The sequence below is a fragment of the Homo sapiens genome, chromosome 7 (genome assembly GCF_000001405.40).
Source record: "Homo sapiens chromosome 7, GRCh38.p14 Primary Assembly".
NCBI classification, from domain to species: Eukaryota; Metazoa; Chordata; class Mammalia; order Primates; family Hominidae; genus Homo; species Homo sapiens.
Genome location: NC_000007.14, coordinates 70,828,882 through 70,845,658, shown reverse-complemented (window position 1 = coordinate 70,845,658; position 16,777 = coordinate 70,828,882). Strand labels below are relative to the sequence as shown.

The window sequence follows — 16,777 nt, the reverse complement described above, 5'->3', positions numbered from 1 at the left end:
CCTCCCTCTCCCTCCCCCCCGTTTCCTCTCTCCCCCTCCCCGTTTCCTCTCTCCCCCTCCCCGTTTCCTCTCTCCCCCTCCCTGTTTCCTCTCTCCCCCTCCCTGTTTCCTCTCTCCCCCTCCCTGTTTCCTCTCTCCCCCTCCCTGTTTCCTCTCTCCCTCATGCTCAGTCTCGTCCTCTTTCTCTCTCTCTCTGGCTCTCCACATCTGCCGTTTCCTCCCCTTTCTCTTTCTGATTTCCCTTCTCACTTTCTCCCTTCCTATCTCTCCCAGTTTCTCTTTCCTCTCTTCTTACATATACTTTTGAGCTTCTCCTATTTCCTTTTACACTTGTGAAATGTCTGGCACAACCAGACAAAACTGCTGTCTTTTCCTCTCTTCTTCTTTTACTACCATTTTCCTTCTTGCTTTTCAGACAACACTAAAACTTTTAACAAAATTTTTGAAGTGGTTTTCTTTTGGTAGTCTAGAATACACTAAGTCATTTCATGGGTCTTTACCCTGAAATGCTACACTTTAAAAATGGCAGTTTTCTTAATTGGCTTAAAATCAGTGTGGCTTGGTTTTACTTGGTAAAGTTGGTGTGATTAAATATATGTGTGTGTGTATATATATATACACACACACACACATATACACATATATACACACATATATATACACACACACATTTTTAATCAGAAAGAAAAAGACTTGCTAATTTGAAAAAGCATTAAAAAAAAGCAAATGCTAAAAACTACAATAAAATAAATTAATTGGCAGGTTAAATGAATGTAAAATGAGGAATGTATGGTGAAAAACCGACTAATAGCATTCCAGTTGATAAAATTAAAAACCTACTTAGGCTTATAGTTTATTTTCTAATGAAGTTATGTTTCAATGTAAATTTTGAAATACTTTAAACATACATTTCATGTAGATTTTGAGTGCCAGTGTTAAAATTTCAAATTATACATGCAAGGCTTATTAAAGAAGCACTGGTAGAATTCCAGTATTTGCAAAATTCTAAGTTTTGGTGAATATTGTAAATATTACAATTGGTATTAGAAAACCAGGATGAATCCAGAATAAGAGAACACCTATTTTATAAATATTTTATTTGATTAAAAATACCAGGCTTGCATGTTCTAAATAATTCAAGAAAATATTTTTTTAAAAAGGACTGCAATTTAACAGTAATCTGTATATCTTTAGCTGCCATTAAAAAAAGAAAAAAGAACAACCAAAAAAATGAGAATGTTACAACTGGTATAAAGTAAACTTATGAGGCTTTTATTACAAGAAAACAAAACTGTATACATTTATAAACAGTCTTTCCACCAGTTAACACACAGAGCCTTTTCTTTTTTTTTTTTTATTATACTTTAAGTTCTGGGGTACATGTGCAGAATGTGCAGATTTATTACGTAGGTATACATGTGCCATGGTAGTTTGCTCCACCCATCAACCTGTCATCTACATTAGGTATTTCTCCTAATGCTATCCCTCCCCTACCCCCACCCTCTGACAGGCCCCAGTGTGTGATGTTCCCCTCCCTGTGTCCATGTGTTTTCATTGTTCAACTCCCACTTAGGAATGAGAACATGCAGTGTTCAGTTTTCTGTTCTTGTGTTAGTTTGCTGAGAATGATGGTTTCCAGCTTCAGCCATGTCCCTGCAAAGAACAGGAACTCATCCTTGTTTATGGCTGCATAGTATTCCATGGTGTATATGTGCCACATTTTCTTTATCCAGTCTATCACTGATGGGCATTTGGGTTGGTTCCAAGTCTTTGCTATTGTGAACAGTGCTGCAATATACATACATGTGCATGTGTCTTTATAGTAGAATGATTTATAATCCTTTGGGTATAGACCCAGTAATGGGATTGCTGGGTCAAATGGTATTTCTGGTTCTAGATCCTTGAGGAATCACCACACTGTCTTCCACAATGGTTGAACTAATTTACACTCTCACCAACAGTGTAAAAGCATTCCTATTTCTCCACATTCTCTCCAGCATCTGTTGTTTCCTCACTTTTTAATGATCGCCATTCTAACTGGTGTGAGATGGTATCTCATTGTGGTTTTAATTTGCATTTCTCTAATGACAAGTGATGATGAGCATTTGCTCATATGTTTGTTAGCTGCATAAATGTCATCTTTTGAGAAATGTCTGTTCATATTCTTTGCCTACTTTTTGATGGGGTTGTTTTTTTCTTGTAAATTTGTTTAAGTTCTTTGTAGATTCTGGGTATTAGCCCTTTGTCAGATGGATAGATTGCAACAATTTTCTCCCATTCTGTAGGTTGCCTGTTCACTCTGATGATAGTTTCTTTTGCTGTGCAGAAGCTTTTTATTTTAATTAGATCCCATTTGACTATTTTGGCTTTTGTTGCCATTGCTTTTGGTGTTTTAGTCATGAAGTCTTTGCCCATGCCTATGTCCTGAATGGTATTGCCTAGGGTTTTTTCTAGAATTTTTATGGTTTTAGGTCTTACATTTAAGTCTTTAATCCATCTTGAGTTAATTTTTGTATAAGGTGTGAGGAAGGGATCCAGTTTCGGTTTTCTGCATACGGCTAGCCAGTTTTCCCAGCACTATTTATTAAATAGGGAATCCTTTCCCTATTGCTTGTTTTTGTCAGCTTTGTCAAAGATCAGATGGTTGTAGATGTGTGGTGTTATTTCTGAGGCCTCTGTTCTGTTCCATTGGTCTATATATCTGTTTTGGTACCAGTACCATGCTGTTTTTGTTACTGCAGTCTTGTAATATAGTTTGAAGTCAGGTAGCGTGATGCCTCCAGCTTTGTTCTTTTTGCTTAGGTTGTCTTGGCTATGCTGTCTCATTTTTGGTTCCATATGAAATTTAAAGTAGTTTTTTCCAATTCTGTGAAGAAAGTCAATGGTAGCTTGATGGGGATAGCATTTAATCTGTAAATTATTTTGGGCAGTATGGCCATTTTCATGATATCCATTCTTCCTATCCATGAACATGGAACGTTTTTTCATTCGTGTCCTCTCTTATTTCCTTGAGCAGTGGTTTATAGTTCTCCTTGAAGAGGTCCTTCACATCACTTGTAAGTTGTATTCCTAGGTATTTTATTCTTCTTGTAGCAATTGTGAATGGGAGTTCACTCATGATTTGGCTCTCTGTTTGTCTAGTTATTGGTGTTAGGAATGCTTGTGATTTTTGAACATTGATTTTGTATCCTGAGACTTTGCTGAAGTTGCTTATCAGCTTAAGGAGATTTTGGGCTGAGATGATGGGGTTTTCTAAGTATATAATCACATCATCTGCAAACAGAGACAATTTGACTTCCTCTTTTCCTAATCGAATACCCTTTATTTTTTTCTCCTGCCTGATTGCCCTGGCCATAACTTCCAATACTATGTTGAATAGGAGTGGTGAGAGAGGGCATCCTTGTCTTGTGCCCGTTTTCAAAGGGAATGCTTCCAGTTTTTGCCCATTCAGTATGATATTGGCTGTGTGTTTTTCATAAGTAGCTCTTATTATGTTGAGATACATTCCCTCAATACCTAGTTTATTGAGAGTTTTTAGCATGAAGGGCTGTTGAATTTTGTCAAATGACTTTTCTGCATCAATTGAGATAATCATGTGGTTTTTGTTGTTCGTTCTGTTTATGTGATGGATTACATTTACTGATTTGTGTATGTTGAACCAGCCTTGCATCCCAGGTATGAAGCTGACTTGATGGTGGATAAAGCTTTTTGATGTGCTGCTGGATTCAGTTTGCCAGTATTTTATTGAGGATTTTTGCATCGATGTTCATCAGGGATATTGGCCTAAAATTTTCTTTTTTTGTTGTGTCTCTGCCAGGTTTTGGTATCAGGATGATGCCAGCCTCATAAAATGAGTTAGGATTCTCTCATTTTCTATTGTTTGGAATAGTTTCAGAAGGAATGGTACCAGCTCCTCTTTGTACCTCTGGTAGAATTCAGCTGTGAATCCATGTGGTCCTGGACTTTTTTTGGTTGGTAGGCTATTAATTACTGCCTCAATTTCAGAACTTATTATTGGTCTATTCAGGGATTCGACTTCTTCCTGGTTTAGTCTTGGGAGGGTGTATGTGTCCAGGAATTTATCCATTTCTTCTAGATTTCCTAGTTAATTTGTATAGAAGTGTTTATAATATTCTTTGATGGTAGTTTGTATTTCTGTGGGATCAGTGGTAATATCCCCTTTATCATTTTTTATTGCATCTATTTAATTCTTCTCTCTTTTCTTTTTTATTAGTCTGGCTAGCAGTCTATTTTGTTGATCTTTAAAAAAAAGCTCCTGGATTCATTGATTTTTTGAAGGGTTTTTCGTGTTTCTATCTCCTTCAGTTCTCCTCTGATCTTAATTATTTCTTGTCTTCTGCTAGCTTTTGAATTTGTTTGCTCTTGCTTCTCTAGTTCTTTTAATTTTGATGTTAGGGTGTTGATTTTAGATCTTTCCTGCTTTCTCTTGTGGACATTTAGTGCTATAAATTTCCCTCTACACACTGCTTTAAATGTGTCCCCGATATTCTGGTACATTGTGTTTTTGTTCTCGTTGGTTTCAAAGAACATCTTTATTTCTGCCTTCATTTTGTTATTTACCCAGTAGTCATTCAGGAGCAGGTTGTTCAATTTCCATGTAGTTGTGCAGTTTTGAGTGAGTTTATTAATCCTGAGTTCTAATTTGATTGCACTGTGGTCTGAGAGACTGTTTATTAGATTTCCATTCTTTTGCATTTGCTGAGGAGTATTTTACTTCCAATTATGTGATCGGTTTTTAGAATAAGTGCGATGTGGTGCTGAGAAGAATGTATATTCTGTTGATTTGGGGTGGAGAGTTCTGTAGATGTCTATTAGGTCTGCTTGGTCCAGAGCTGAATTCAAGTCCTGGATATCCTTGTTAATTTTCTGTCTCGTTGATCTGTCTAGTGTTGACAGTGAGGTGTTAAAGTCTCCCACTATTATTGTGTGGGAGTCTAAGTCTCTTTGTAGGGCTCTAAGAACTTGCTTTATGAATCTGAGTGCTCCTGTATTGGATGCATATATATTTAGGATAGTTAGCTCTTCTTGTTGCATTGATCCCCTTATCCTTATGTAATACCCTTCTTTGTCTCTTTTGATTTTTGTTGACTTAAAGTCTGTTTTATCAGAGACTAGGATTGCAACCCTTGCTTTTTTTTGCTTTCCATTTGCATGGTAAATATTCCTCCATCACTTTATTTTGAGCCTATGTGTGTCTTTGCACATGAGATGGGTTTCCTGAATACAGTACACTGATGGGTCTTGACTCTTTATCCAATTTGCCAGTCTGTGTCTTTTAATTGGAGCATTTAGCCCATTTACATTTACGGTTAATATTGTTATGTGTGAATTTGATCCATCATTATGACGCTAGCTGGTTATTTTGCCCGTTAGTAGATGCAGTTTCTTCATGGTGTCAATGGTCTTTACAATTTGGCATGTTTTTTGCCATGGCTGGTACCGGTCATTCCTTTCCATGTTTAGTGCTTCCTTCAGGAGCTCTTGTAAGGCAGGCCTGGTGGTGACAAAATCTCTCAGCATTTTCTTGTCTGTAAAGGATTTTATTTCTCCTTCACTTATGAAGCTTAGTTTGGCTGGATAGGAAATTCTGGGTTGAAAATTCTTTTAAGAATGTTGAATATTGGCCCCCACTCTCTTCTGGCTTGTAGGGTTTCTGCCAAGAGATCTGCTGTTAGTCTGATGGGCTTCCCTTTGTGGGTAACCTGACCTTTCTCTCTGACTGATCTTAACATTTTTTCCTTCATTTCAACCTTGGAGAATCTGACGATTATATGTCTTGGGGTTGCTCTTCTTGAGGAATATCTTTGTGGTGTTCTCTGTATTTCCTGAATTTGAATGTTGGCCTGCCTTGCTAGGTTGGGGAGGTTCTCCTGGATAATATCCTGAAGAGTGTTTTCCAACTTGGTTCCATTCTCCCCGTCACTTTCAGGTACAGCAATCAAATGTATATTTGGCCTTTTCACATAGTCCCATATTTCTTGGAGGCTTTGTTCCTTTCTTTTCACTCTTTTTTCTCTAATCTTGTTTTCTTGCTTTATTTCATTGAGTTGATCTTCAATCTCTGGTATCTTTTCTTCCACTTGATCAATTCGTCTACTGATACTTGTGTATGCTTCAAGAAGTTCTCGTGCTGTGTTTTTCAGCTCCATCAGGTCATTTATGTTCTTCTCTAAACTGGATATTCTAGTTAGCAATTTGTCTAACCTTTTCTCAAGGTTCTTAGCTTCCTTGGATTGGGTTAGAACATGCTCCTTTAGCTCAGAGGAGTTTGTTATTACCCACCTTCGGAAGCCTACTTCTGTCAATTCGTCAAACTCATTCTCCATCCAGTTTTGTTCCCTTGCTGACAAGGAGTTGTGATCCTTTGGAGGAGAAGAGGCGTTCTGGTTTTTGGAGTTTTCAGCCTTTTTGCGCTGGTTTCTCCCCATCTTCGTGGATTTATCTACCTTTGGCCTTTGATGTTGGTGACCTTCAGATGGGGTCTCGGAGTAGACGTCCTTTTTGTTGATGTTGCTACTATTCTTTTCTGTTTTGTTAGTTTTCCTTCTAACAGGCCCCTCTTCTGCAGGTCTGCTGGAGTTTGCTGGAGGTCCACTCCAGACCCTGTTTTCCCAGGTATCACCAGTGGAGGCTGCAGAATAGCAAAGATTGCTGCCTGTTCCTTCCTCTGGAAGCTTCATCCAAGAGGGGTGCCCACCAGATGTCAGCGAGAACTCTTTTGTATGATGTGTCTGTTGGCCCCTACTGGGAGGTGTCTCCCAGGCAGGATACACGGGGATCAGGGACCCACTTGAGAAGACAGCCTGTCCCTTATCAGACCTTGAACACTGTGCTGGGAGATCCACTGCTCTCTTAAGAACTGTCAGGCAGGGACGTTTAAGTCTGCTGAAGCTGCGCCCACAGCCGCCCCTTCCCCCAGGTGCTCTGTCCCAGGGAGCTAAGGGTTTTATCTATAAGTCCCAGACTGGGGCTGCTGCCTTTTTTTCAGAGATCCCCTGCCCAGAGAGGAGGAAATCTAGACAGGCAGTGTGCCTTCAGCCGCCTTGTTGAGCTGCAGTGGGCTCCGCCCGGTTTGAACTTCCCAGGGCTTTGTTTACACTGTGAGGGTAAAACCACCTACTTAAGCCTCAGCAATGGCGAACGCCCTCCCCGCACCAAGCTCGAGTGTCCCAGGTCGACCTCAGACTGCTGTGCTAGCAGCGAGAATTTCAAGCCAGTGGACCTTAGCTTGCTGGGCTCCGTGGGAGTGGGACCTGCTGAGACAGGCTATGGAGGCAATCTCCTGGTCTGCCAGTTGTGAAGACCATGGGAAAAGTGCAGTATCTGGGCCGGATTGCACTATTCCTCCTGATCCAGTCTCTCAAAGCTTCCCTTGGCTAGGAAAGGGAAATCACCCGACCCCTTGCACTTCCAAGGTGAGGCGACACCTCACCCTGCTTCGTCTCACCCTCCGTGGGCTGTACCCACTGTCCAACCAGTCCCATTGAGATGAACTGGGTACCTCACTTGGAAATGCAGAAATCACCCGCTTTCTGTGTTGATCTCACTGGGAGCTGCAGACTAGAGCTGTTCCTATTTGGCCATCTTGCCAGCAAGTCCCACACAGAGCCTTTTCTACACTAAACTTTCCATTTGCCACCAGACTGGGCTTTGTCCTTCACTCTCTGGATGCCGGGCAGTGTCTGGTGTGTCTTACCCTCTTGCTGTCCTCTGCCATCTGCATGCCAGAGCCACTTTTGTAAGCATTTTCATTAACTTCTACCTGAGTAACACTGGAAACTGTGGATGCCCTCCTTTGGGCTGGGAGTTTCCTAGCATAGGGGAGGTTCCCCTCACACTGTTTGTGCACCTCCGGCAGGCCCTGCAGCTCAGGCAGACTGCTTCAGCCTGAGCGGGAGGGAGGTTAGGGTCAGGAGTGTTAGGCGGCTTAGAGGAGTTGGCTTGTGGCTTACTTCCTGCAGTCATTAGGAGGTAAAGAGGGTCAGGCCACTACTACCAACATAGGGCATAATCTATTTCCTCCTGGGAGAAAGGACTCTTGTCATTAATATGTTCTACTAAAAGCTGACAAATCTATTCCTTATTTGACCCAAACTTTGGCCAGAAAACTGAGGATCTGAGGATTGGTTCTTGGGTCCAAATAAAACAACAATATTTTATTATCTGTTGCTTTTTTTTGTGTTTGATCCTTTGTAGTTCTTCTTTTACTAGGGATATTTCCCGTCCTGGAAGTTAATGGGGGCTCAATCTCTCATATTAGACATTTTTTTTGCACCTCCCTCTTGGAGGTTAATGGGGGCTCAATTTCTCATATTAGACATGTCTTGTACCCCTTTTCCTGGAGGCTCAACCCCACTACTGGGGATTCCTTGCACCTTCACACACTTTCAACCTCCAAGATAACCTGACCACCAAAGAATACTTCACGACTCCCACGGCTTTTCTTGCCTTGGTGTGTCCTGACCAAAGAATACCTCACCGCCCCGGTGGCTTTTCTTGCCTTGGTATATCCCAACCAAAGAATACTTCACTGCCCCTGAAGCTTTTCTTGCCTTGGTCCTGACCACCAAGGAAATACTTTGCCGGCTCCCATGGCCTTTCTTACCTTGGTCTGTGCACAGAGTTATCCGATTGCCCCAGTAACTGAAGGCCTTTTCTTCCTGCATTGCTGACAGTCCAGGTTTATTCATCACACTGTGGCTGCCACAACAAGGCAGCGGGACGTGTCTCCTCACGAGAGGCGATCAGAGACCCTTTCCCAGGGGAGGATTAGTTTCCCCATATGGGCCACTAAATTTGTTGGAAATAAATGCTCAGTGCCGCAAAGAAGAACCAGCACTGAGACAAAAATTCTCTCAGAAAGGCAATTTACTCCCATAGGAGGGTGTGTTTCACAGATGCACCAACGGCGAGAGCACCCAGAACAAAGAAAAGCAGGGGTTTTAATTATCTCTAACACAGTTTCTGCTGTGTCTTTCCCCTGTTGGCTAGGGTTGGACCCCACAGTCTAAATTAGTCCCAATTGGCTAAACATTTAAACTTTCTTAGATAAGGTTGGCACATAAGGGGGGTGAGAAGAGACAGAAGGGGGGTCACTTACGGGGGTACTAGGAAGGGAACCTATTCCCTAATAAGGAAAGGAATGTGGACTGGGGTTGTAGCAAGTTCAGGCATGCCTAGGCATATTCAGACAAGTTGGGGTGCAACAAAGGCAAGGGGGTGTTTGGAATTATAGGATGGAGAACAGGGAAACTGGATAAGCTGTTTGAAGAGGGAACCTAATTGTATTTAACAAACCAGAATGTTTAATTAATGAAGTTGTAACTTTTATTAAGTGTTTCATAGCATTTCAGTTTTGCGGCCTTCTTTTTATTCTCATTTCTGCAGGCTCCCAACAGCTCTGGCCTTGGGCCCTGCGTCCACTGGGCTTGATGCTCCTAGTGGGAGGTTCCTGACCTCAAAGTCCCCCTTCACTGCCCCATGATGAGAGAGACTGGGAGCTGCTGGTAGAGGTAGGAAGGCTGTAAGTGTGCCCAGTGGGCTCTAGGTAAAGGAAATGGGCCAGGGCTGTTTTCTGGACAGTGAGAACAACAGTGGATTCAGGTCAGAGTAGTTCAGTTGGTGAGACAGCCAGGGTACCCTTTCCCAAGTCCTGGGAAGAAGGAGAGGAGACGAGGCTGGTAACCTGATCATTGGGTCAAGCATGACATAGCTCTCATGGGACCATCTCCAAGCTCTGCTGTAGGCAGAGGGGAGGCCAGAATCAAAGTCCTGTCCTCTTCTTCAGGGAAGGGTCATTTGGAAGGAGGGATAGGTCCTAGGTCACATGGGACTGTGCACAGAGTTGTCTCTGGAGCCCAGAGATCACAGCACCAGGCCCAGTCCAACCTAGAGAAAGAGCCACGCCATGCCTTGGGGACATTGGGAGGAGCAAAGAGCTCAGATGTGGGCCTAAGACAGATCTGGGTTGTTGTCTTGGCTGGTTCTTTATGAGCTGTGGCCTCGGACATGTTTCTGAACCTTGGCTTTCCTTCATATGTAAAATGAGAATAAATCAGAGTTGCTAGAAGGCGTTGGGGGCCCATTAAAACAGATGACTGAGCTTGGCAGTTTCTCAAAAAGTGACACAGAATTTCTATGTGGTCCAGCAATTCCGCTCCTAGGGCTATGCCCTGGAGAACTGAAAATACGAACTCAAACAAACACATGTGCCCAAACATTCATAGCAGCACTAGTCACGATAGCCAGGAAGTGGAAACTACCCAAATGTCCATCCACTGAGGAATGAATAAGAAAAATGTGGCCTATCCCTACAATGCAGCACCATTCACCATAAAAAGAAATGAAATTCTGATCCATGGAACAACATGGACGAACCCTGAGGACATTATGCTAAGTGGAATCAGCCAGACACAAAAGGACACACACTATATGATATAGTTTGGATCTGTGTCCCCACTCAAATCTCATATTGAATTGTAATTTCCAGTTTTGGAGATGGGGCCTGGTGGAAGGTGAGTGGATCATGGAAGCAGACCTTTCTCATGGAGGATTTAGCCCTTGGTACTGTCCTTGCAACAGTGAGTGAATTCTCATGAGATCTGGTTGTTTAAAAGTTTGTATCACCCCCCTCACTCTCCTGCTCCTGCTTTTCACTGTGTGAGATGCCTGCTCCCCCACTCCCCCACCTTCCACCATCATTGCAAGCTCCCCGAGGCCTTCCCAGAAGCAGATACTGCCATGCTTTCTGTACAGCCTGAAGAACTGTGAGCCAATTACACCTCTTTTCTTATTGATTACCCAGTCTCAGGTATTTCTTTATAGCAATGCAAAAACCAACTAATGCACTATATAATTCCACTTATGTAAGGTACCTAGAATAGGCAAATTCATAGAGATAGTAAGTAGAGTAGAGGTTACCAGGGGACAGGGGGAGGGGAGGATGAGGAGTTATTGTCTGTTGGGTACAGTGTTTCTGGTTGGGATGGTGAAAAAGTTCTGGACATAGTGATTGCACAACATTGTGAATGTACTTAACGTCACTGAACTACAGACTCAAACATGGTTAAAATGATAGATTGTATGTTATATATATTTTACCACAATATAAATTAATGGATAAAAATATAGTAAAGGAGGCCGGACGCGGTGGTTTACGCCTGTAATCCTAGCACTTCGGGAGGCTGAGGTGGGCGGATCACGAGGTGAGGAGATCGAGACCATCCTGGCTAATATGGTGAAACTCCGTCTCTACTAAAAATACAAAAAATTAGCCGAGCGTGGTGGCGGGCGCCTGTAGTCCCAGCTACTCGGGAGGCTGAGGCAGGAGAATGGCGTGAACCTGGGAGGTGGAGCTTGCAGTGAGCCAAGATTGCACCACTGCACTCCAGCCTGGGCGAAAGAGCGAGACTCCATCTCAAAAAAAAAAAAAAATATATACACACACACACACACACACACACACACACACACACACACACATATACTATATATACTATATAGTATATATATATAGTGTATATTTATACACTATATATATATATATAGTAAAGGAATGAGGTACAGTAATCCCCCTTTGTCCTTGGGGGATATGTTTCAAGAATCCCAGTGGAAGCCTGAAATGCTTTTCTTCAATCGGATCCCTGAGCCAGCTACTAAATGATTCATAGGCAGATAATGTCCACCTACAGTGTGAATATAATGGACCAGGGAATGACTCACCACCTGGGCAGGATGGAGTGGGACTGCATGAGACTTCAGCATACTACTCACAATGGCATGGTATTTGAAACTTATGAATTGTGTATTGTTGGAATTTTTCATTTAATATATTTAGACCACAGATGACTGCAGGTAATTGAAACCCCAGAAAGCAAAACTCCAGATAAAGAGGGACTACTGTACTAATGTAATATAAGGTAGAGTGTGGGTAAACCTAAAGCATGACTTTAAGTGAAAGAAGCCATATATAAAAAGATGACACATTGTTTATGATTTGATTTATAAGAATTATCCAAAAATAGGCAAATATGTAAATTAGTTCCACATTTCACAAGGAATATATACATGAGAGGTCTTCAAAAAGTTCATGGAAAATTTGCATTATAAAAGAACTACGCAGCCGGGCACGGTGGCTCACGCCTGTAATCCCAGCACTTTGGGAGGCCGAGGTGGGTGGATCACGAGGTCAGGAGATCGAGACCATCCTGGCTAACAAGGTGAAACCCCGTCTCTACTAAAAATACAAAAAATTAGCCGGGCGCGGTGGCGGGCGCCTGTAGTCCCAGCTACTCGGGAGGCTGAGGCAGGAGAATGGCGTGAACCCGGGAAGCGGAGCTTGCAGTGAGCCGAGATTGCGCCACTGCAGTCCGCAGTCCGGCCTGGGTGACAGAGCGAGACTCCGTCTCAAAAAAAAAAAAAAAAGAACTCTTACAGGTCGATCATTAAAAGACAATGCAATTTTTTTTTCACAGAGGGTCTCACTCTGTTGCCCAGGCTGGAGTGCAGTGGCAGCCTTGAATTCCTGGGCTCAAGTGATCCTCCTGCCTCAGCCTCTTTAGTAGCTGGGACTACAGGTACATGTCACCATGCCCAGCTAATTTTTTATTTCTTATTTATTTATTTATTTTGAATTGGGGTCTCATTATGTTGCCCAGGCTGGTTTTGAACTCCCAGACTCAATCAATCCTCCTGCCTCAACCTCCCAAAATGCTGGAATTACAGGTGTAAGTGACTATGCCCGGCCGTGATATTTAAAATATGCAAAGGATCTGCTTACTGGGGGCATTTAGACATAGACATTTCTCCAAGGAAGATATATAAATGGCCAATAAACACATGAAAAGATGCTGAACATTATTAGTCCATTAGGGAAATTCAAATCAAAATCACGAGATACCACCTCACACCCACCTCACTCCCACTACTGGCAAAGACAATAACAAGTGTGGTCAAAAATTGTGCAAAAATTTGGAAACCTCATATGTCACTGGTGGGAATATAAAATGGTAGAGCACTCTGTAAAACAATCTGGCAGTCCTTAAAAAGGCTAAGCATATGGCCGGGTGTGGTGGCTCACTCCTGTAATCACAGCACTTTGGGAGGCCAAGGCAGGCGGATCACCTGAGGTCAGGAGTTGGAGACCAGCCTGGCCAACATGGTGAAACCCCGTCTCTACTAAAAATACAAAAATTAGCCGGGCAGGGTGGTGGATGCCTGTAATCCCAGCTACTCGGGAGGCTGAAGCAGGAGAATGGCTTGAACCCAGGAGGCAGAGGTTGCAGTGAGCCGAGATTGTGCCACTGCACTCCAGCCTGAGCAACAGAGTGAGAATCCCTCTCAAAAAAAAAAGACTAAACATAGTTTCCCAGTAATTTCACTTACCTGTACATATAAATGCAAGAGAAATGAAAACACATGTCCACACAGAGCCACGTATATGAATGGTTATAACAGCAGCTTTATTCATGGTAGGTAGAAAGCAGAAACAATTCAAATGCCTGTTAACTGATCAAAAGATACACAAAGTGTGCTGTATCTATACAAGGACTATAATAATCCATATTACTCCATCATAGAAAGGAGTAAAATACTAATACATAGCCAGGTGCTGTGGCTCATGCCTGTAATCCTAGCACTTTGGGAGGCAGAGGTAGGAGGATCCCTTGAACCCAGGAGTTCAAGACCAGCCTGGACAATAGAGCAAGACCCCGTCTCCACAGAAAATTTAAAAATTAGGCAGGCATGGTGATGCACACCTGTAGTCCCAGCTATTCGGGAGGCTGAGGTGGGAGGATTGCTTGAGCCCAGGAGTTTGAGGCTGCAGTGAGCCATCATCGCACCACTGCACTCCAGCCTCAGCAATGGGGTGAGCTCCTGTTTCTTTAAAAAAATAATAAGAAGAATACGTGCCACAACATGAATAAAACTTAAAAACATCCAGTCACAAACGATCACACATATTATATTATTCCATTCTCATAAAATGTTCAGAGTAGGCAAATCTAGAAAGTAGATTCATGCTTGCCAGGGTGTAGGGGGAGGAGGGAGTGGGCTTTTTCTTGGCTGATGAAAATGTTCCAGATTACACAGTGGTGATAGTTGTACAACTTCATGAATGTACTAAAACCCACCTCAACGTGGTGAATTTTATGGTATGTGAATTCTATCACAATAAAAAATTAGAATAATGTTGCTGTAGTACTCAGGTTTAAATAACTAAAGAAATAATAAAGTTGAATCAAATTGTCAAAAAAAAAAAAAAAAAAATAGACACCAGTCCACAGGGTCCCCTGCTCCAGGAACACATATCAAATCCTTTACATGGTGTCCTAGAAGCAGCCCACTCCCCAGCTGGGCTTGAGACAAGAGGGAGCACGCCTCTGTCCCCTTATAAGGGCCTGAGGGGTGTGGCGTCCATAGCACCCCAACATCTTTCACAAAAGACCATCTCTCCTGATTTCTAGCTGCTTGCTAGAGGCTGCAGATGGGTGTCACCTGAGGGCTGGAAGTCCATTCCTGACCACCCTGTGCAAGCCTGCATAGGGGCGTATTAGTCAGTGGGGCCCCTGTTACAAGTTCCACTGGCTGGGTATTTCTAAACAGCAGAAATTGGGCTGGGCACAGTGGCTCACGCCTGTAATCCCAGCAGTTTGGGAGGCCGAGGCAGGTGGATCACTTGAGGTCAGGAGTTCGAGACCAGCCTGGCCAACATGGTGAAACCCTGTCTTTACTAAAAATAGAAAAAATTATCTGGGTGTGGTGGCACACGCCTGTAATCCCAGCTACTCGGGAGACTGAGGCAGGAGAATTGCTGGAACCTGGGAGGCAGAGGTTGCAGTGAATAGAGATCACGCCACTCCACTCCAGCCTGGGTGACAGGGCGAGACTCCACCTCAAAAAAAAATAAAATAAACAGAAATCTATTTTCCCACTGTTCTGGAGGCTGGAATTCTCACATGAGGACCTCAGTGAGGTCGAAGATCAAGGTGTCAGCTCGATGGCTTTTCTTTTTTGTTTATTTTAGATACAGGGTCTTGCTGTTGCCCAGGCTGGAGTGCAGTGGTGCAATCACAACTCACTGCAGCCTTGACCTCCTGGGCCCAAAAGATGACTGGCTATTCATTTTATTTTATTTTCTTAGAGACAGGAGTCGCATTATGTTGCCCAGGCTAGTCTCAAACTCCTGGACTTAAGCGATCCTCCCGCCTCAGCGTCCCCTCAAAGTGTTGTGATTACAGGCGTGAGCCACTGCACCCAGCCTGGGTGTGTTGTTTAAAATTCATCTTTCATATGTCCTGGGCAATATAACCATGTTTCTTCCCAGAGTTCGGGGAGATGGGAAGGAGGGACCATAATGGCTTCCTGGCCTTGTGAAGCAGATGGTGAAGGGAGGGGAGTAGAACTTGGAAACCTGATGCTGGTGGCTCTGGGACAGCTGTTGTGGGGTGGGGGAGGGGGGAGGTGCAGCTGGGGCATCAGCAGGGGTGAACGAGGAAATGGGTCAGAAGCACTCAGTACCAGGCTGAGGTCAGACCGGGCGACCCGCCTGTCGCTGTTCTGTGACTTTCCCGGGGCAGACTCTCAGGAGCTTAGAGTTGGGCCAGACATAGAATCTGAGACCGGGGACCAACCCTGGCTCTTGGCAGCACAGCTGGAGAGAAAAACAGAAACACTCCCACCCCGTCAACTTGAACAGCCCATGCATTTCTGCACAATTCACCCCCATATTGCAAGTGAGCCTGCTAAGCCCGAGACGACCCCTAATGAGAAACCATGGAGGAGCCCCGCGCTGGTCGCTAGGAACACTCCACTGCCTGGAATGCTTCCTCTGAGTGCAAACGGATGTAGCAACTTGGGGTTTCTGTGGATGGCAATAGGAAATGAACTCGCAAGAGTTTAAGGCGCATTTCAGAATGACTCTACTGTAAGAAACATGTGCATGCCAACCATGCAAGCTTAGAGGAAGCAGACGAATGAGAGCAGCAACTGTCCACATTAGGAAGGAAAAACAGAGGAAGGAAAGGAGGGAGAACGAGAAGGAAGGGAATGGGGAGAGAAAAGAAGGAAGGCCATTCATTGAGCTGGACGGAATGGGGCGTTTATAGCAAGTCGGCCTGATTTCTGGAGAGCTAGCCCACATGCATCGTCACCTTCAGAGCTAAGCCACTCATTTCTGGAGGGATGCCCCTGAACAGAGGCAGCGGTTTTGCACAGGGGTTGCCCAAAACCACGTTCCCATCCAAACAGGCTTGCGCGGGAGCGCACACAGCGGGTCCTGCTAAAAATCTGTTCTCATGGCTCCCTCTGGTGTCCAGACCGTGCAATAGCAGGAAGCCCGGACGGTTCCTCTGCAAAGGCGCTTCCCTGCAATCACACCATCGCCCAAGCCTTGGTTGCGGGGGTGCCTCAGCCACGCTAACCCTTACATATGTTCTCAGATCCCAACTGCGCTGAGATGAGGATGTAGGGCTGAGGTCCTAGTTGTGCAAATGGGTCCAGAGATGCTTTATCCAGGGGTACATCACCGGTGTCAGCTCAGGTCAGGGAAGGTTTCTATTAGATCATCCTCCTTCAAATTATAATAATAGAAGGAAAAATTCGGCTGAGCGTGGTGGCTCATGCTTGTAATCCCAGCGCTTTGGGAGGCCGAGGCAGGAGGATTGCTTGAGGCCATGAGTTTGAGACTAGCCTGGGCCATGTAGGGAGACCCCGTCTCTACACAAAAATTTTAAAAATTGTCTAGCATGGTGTCAGG

General features: G+C 43.8%; 1 pseudogene, besides 6 other annotated features; it reads right to left on the bottom strand.

The window, feature by feature from the left end:
* LOC100967223 (neuroepithelial cell transforming 1 pseudogene) lies at positions 304 to 7,917 on the bottom strand (annotated as a pseudogene).
* Positions 6,624 to 7,376: an enhancer, noted in NCBI's record as "H3K27ac-H3K4me1 hESC enhancer chr7:70303269-70304021 (GRCh37/hg19 assembly coordinates)". NCBI's record gives its function as "activates a minimal SCP1, AML or CMV promoter by ChIP-STARR-seq in naive H9 embryonic stem cells {active_cell/tissue: H9 hESC(naive)}" and the evidence as "EXISTENCE:reporter gene assay evidence [ECO:0000049][PMID:30033119]".
* Positions 8,170 to 8,670: an enhancer, noted in NCBI's record as "H3K27ac hESC enhancer chr7:70301975-70302475 (GRCh37/hg19 assembly coordinates)". NCBI's record gives its function as "activates a minimal SCP1, AML or CMV promoter by ChIP-STARR-seq in primed H9 embryonic stem cells {active_cell/tissue: H9 hESC(primed)}" and the evidence as "EXISTENCE:reporter gene assay evidence [ECO:0000049][PMID:30033119]".
* Positions 8,170 to 9,663: a biological region, named in NCBI's record as "MED14-independent group 3 enhancer GRCh37_chr7:70300982-70302181".
* Positions 8,464 to 9,663: an enhancer, noted in NCBI's record as "MED14-independent group 3 enhancer chr7:70300982-70302181 (GRCh37/hg19 assembly coordinates)". NCBI's record gives its function as "activates an origin of replication core promoter dependent on BRD2, BRD4, P300/CBP and CDK7 cofactors, and independent of MED14, by STARR-seq in HCT116 cells {active_cell/tissue: HCT116}" and the evidence as "EXISTENCE:reporter gene assay evidence [ECO:0000049][PMID:35650434]".
* Positions 8,671 to 9,171: an enhancer, noted in NCBI's record as "H3K27ac hESC enhancer chr7:70301474-70301974 (GRCh37/hg19 assembly coordinates)". NCBI's record gives its function as "activates a minimal SCP1, AML or CMV promoter by ChIP-STARR-seq in primed H9 embryonic stem cells {active_cell/tissue: H9 hESC(primed)}" and the evidence as "EXISTENCE:reporter gene assay evidence [ECO:0000049][PMID:30033119]".
* Positions 16,307 to 16,436: a silencer, noted in NCBI's record as "silent region_18235". NCBI's record gives its function as "represses an Ori minimal core promoter by ATAC-STARR-seq in GM12878 lymphoblastoid cells {active_cell/tissue: GM12878}" and the evidence as "EXISTENCE:reporter gene assay evidence [ECO:0000049][PMID:35858748]".